The sequence below is a fragment of the Homo sapiens genome, chromosome 7 (genome assembly GCF_000001405.40).
Source record: "Homo sapiens chromosome 7, GRCh38.p14 Primary Assembly".
NCBI lineage: Eukaryota > Metazoa > Chordata > Mammalia > Primates > Hominidae > Homo > Homo sapiens.
In genome coordinates this window covers 111,642,639-111,643,133 of record NC_000007.14, presented here as the reverse complement: position 1 = coordinate 111,643,133, position 495 = coordinate 111,642,639, and the positions used below count along the sequence as shown (strand labels likewise).

The 495-nt window shown below is 45.7% G+C and overlaps 1 annotated feature.

Annotated features, from left to right (window-relative positions):
- Positions 295-495: a silencer, noted in NCBI's record as "peak6689 fragment used in MPRA reporter construct". NCBI's record gives its function as "represses an SCP1 promoter by STARR-seq MPRAs in K562 erythroleukemia cells {active_cell/tissue: K562}" and the evidence as "EXISTENCE:reporter gene assay evidence [ECO:0000049][PMID:32103011]".

Sequence of the window (495 nt, the reverse complement as noted above, 5' to 3'; positions counted from 1 at the left end):
GGTGTGAACCCGGGAGGCAGAGTTTGCAATGAGCCGAGATCATGCCACTGCACTCCAGCCTGGGCAACAGAGTGAGACTCCGTCTCAAAAAAAAAAAAAAGTCCATTTTGTTAGTGTTATGATGTTTCTGAACTCCAAAGGAAGGAGGAGATAATGAGGCTTGCCTGACCTCTTGTTAGTGGTGGAAGAGATCTGAGTTACCCTGAGTTACCAGCAGCAAATCCCTACGCATCTGCAGCAACTTCAATTCTTGCCTCCTCAGAAGAAAGAATTCAACTGAGGGACATAAAGCAGAAAAAGAGACCAAGGCAAGTTTCAGAGCAGGAGTGGAAGTTTATTTAAAAGGCCTTAGAACAGGAAAGAAAGGAAAGTTCACTTGGAAGAGATCCAGGAGGGTGCATGAGGAGTAGAGAGAGGTCCAGTGCTCTGTTTTAACTGTGATCCTAGGACTTTCATAGGCTTGCCTCTTTCTCATGATTCTTCCCTTAGGGTTGG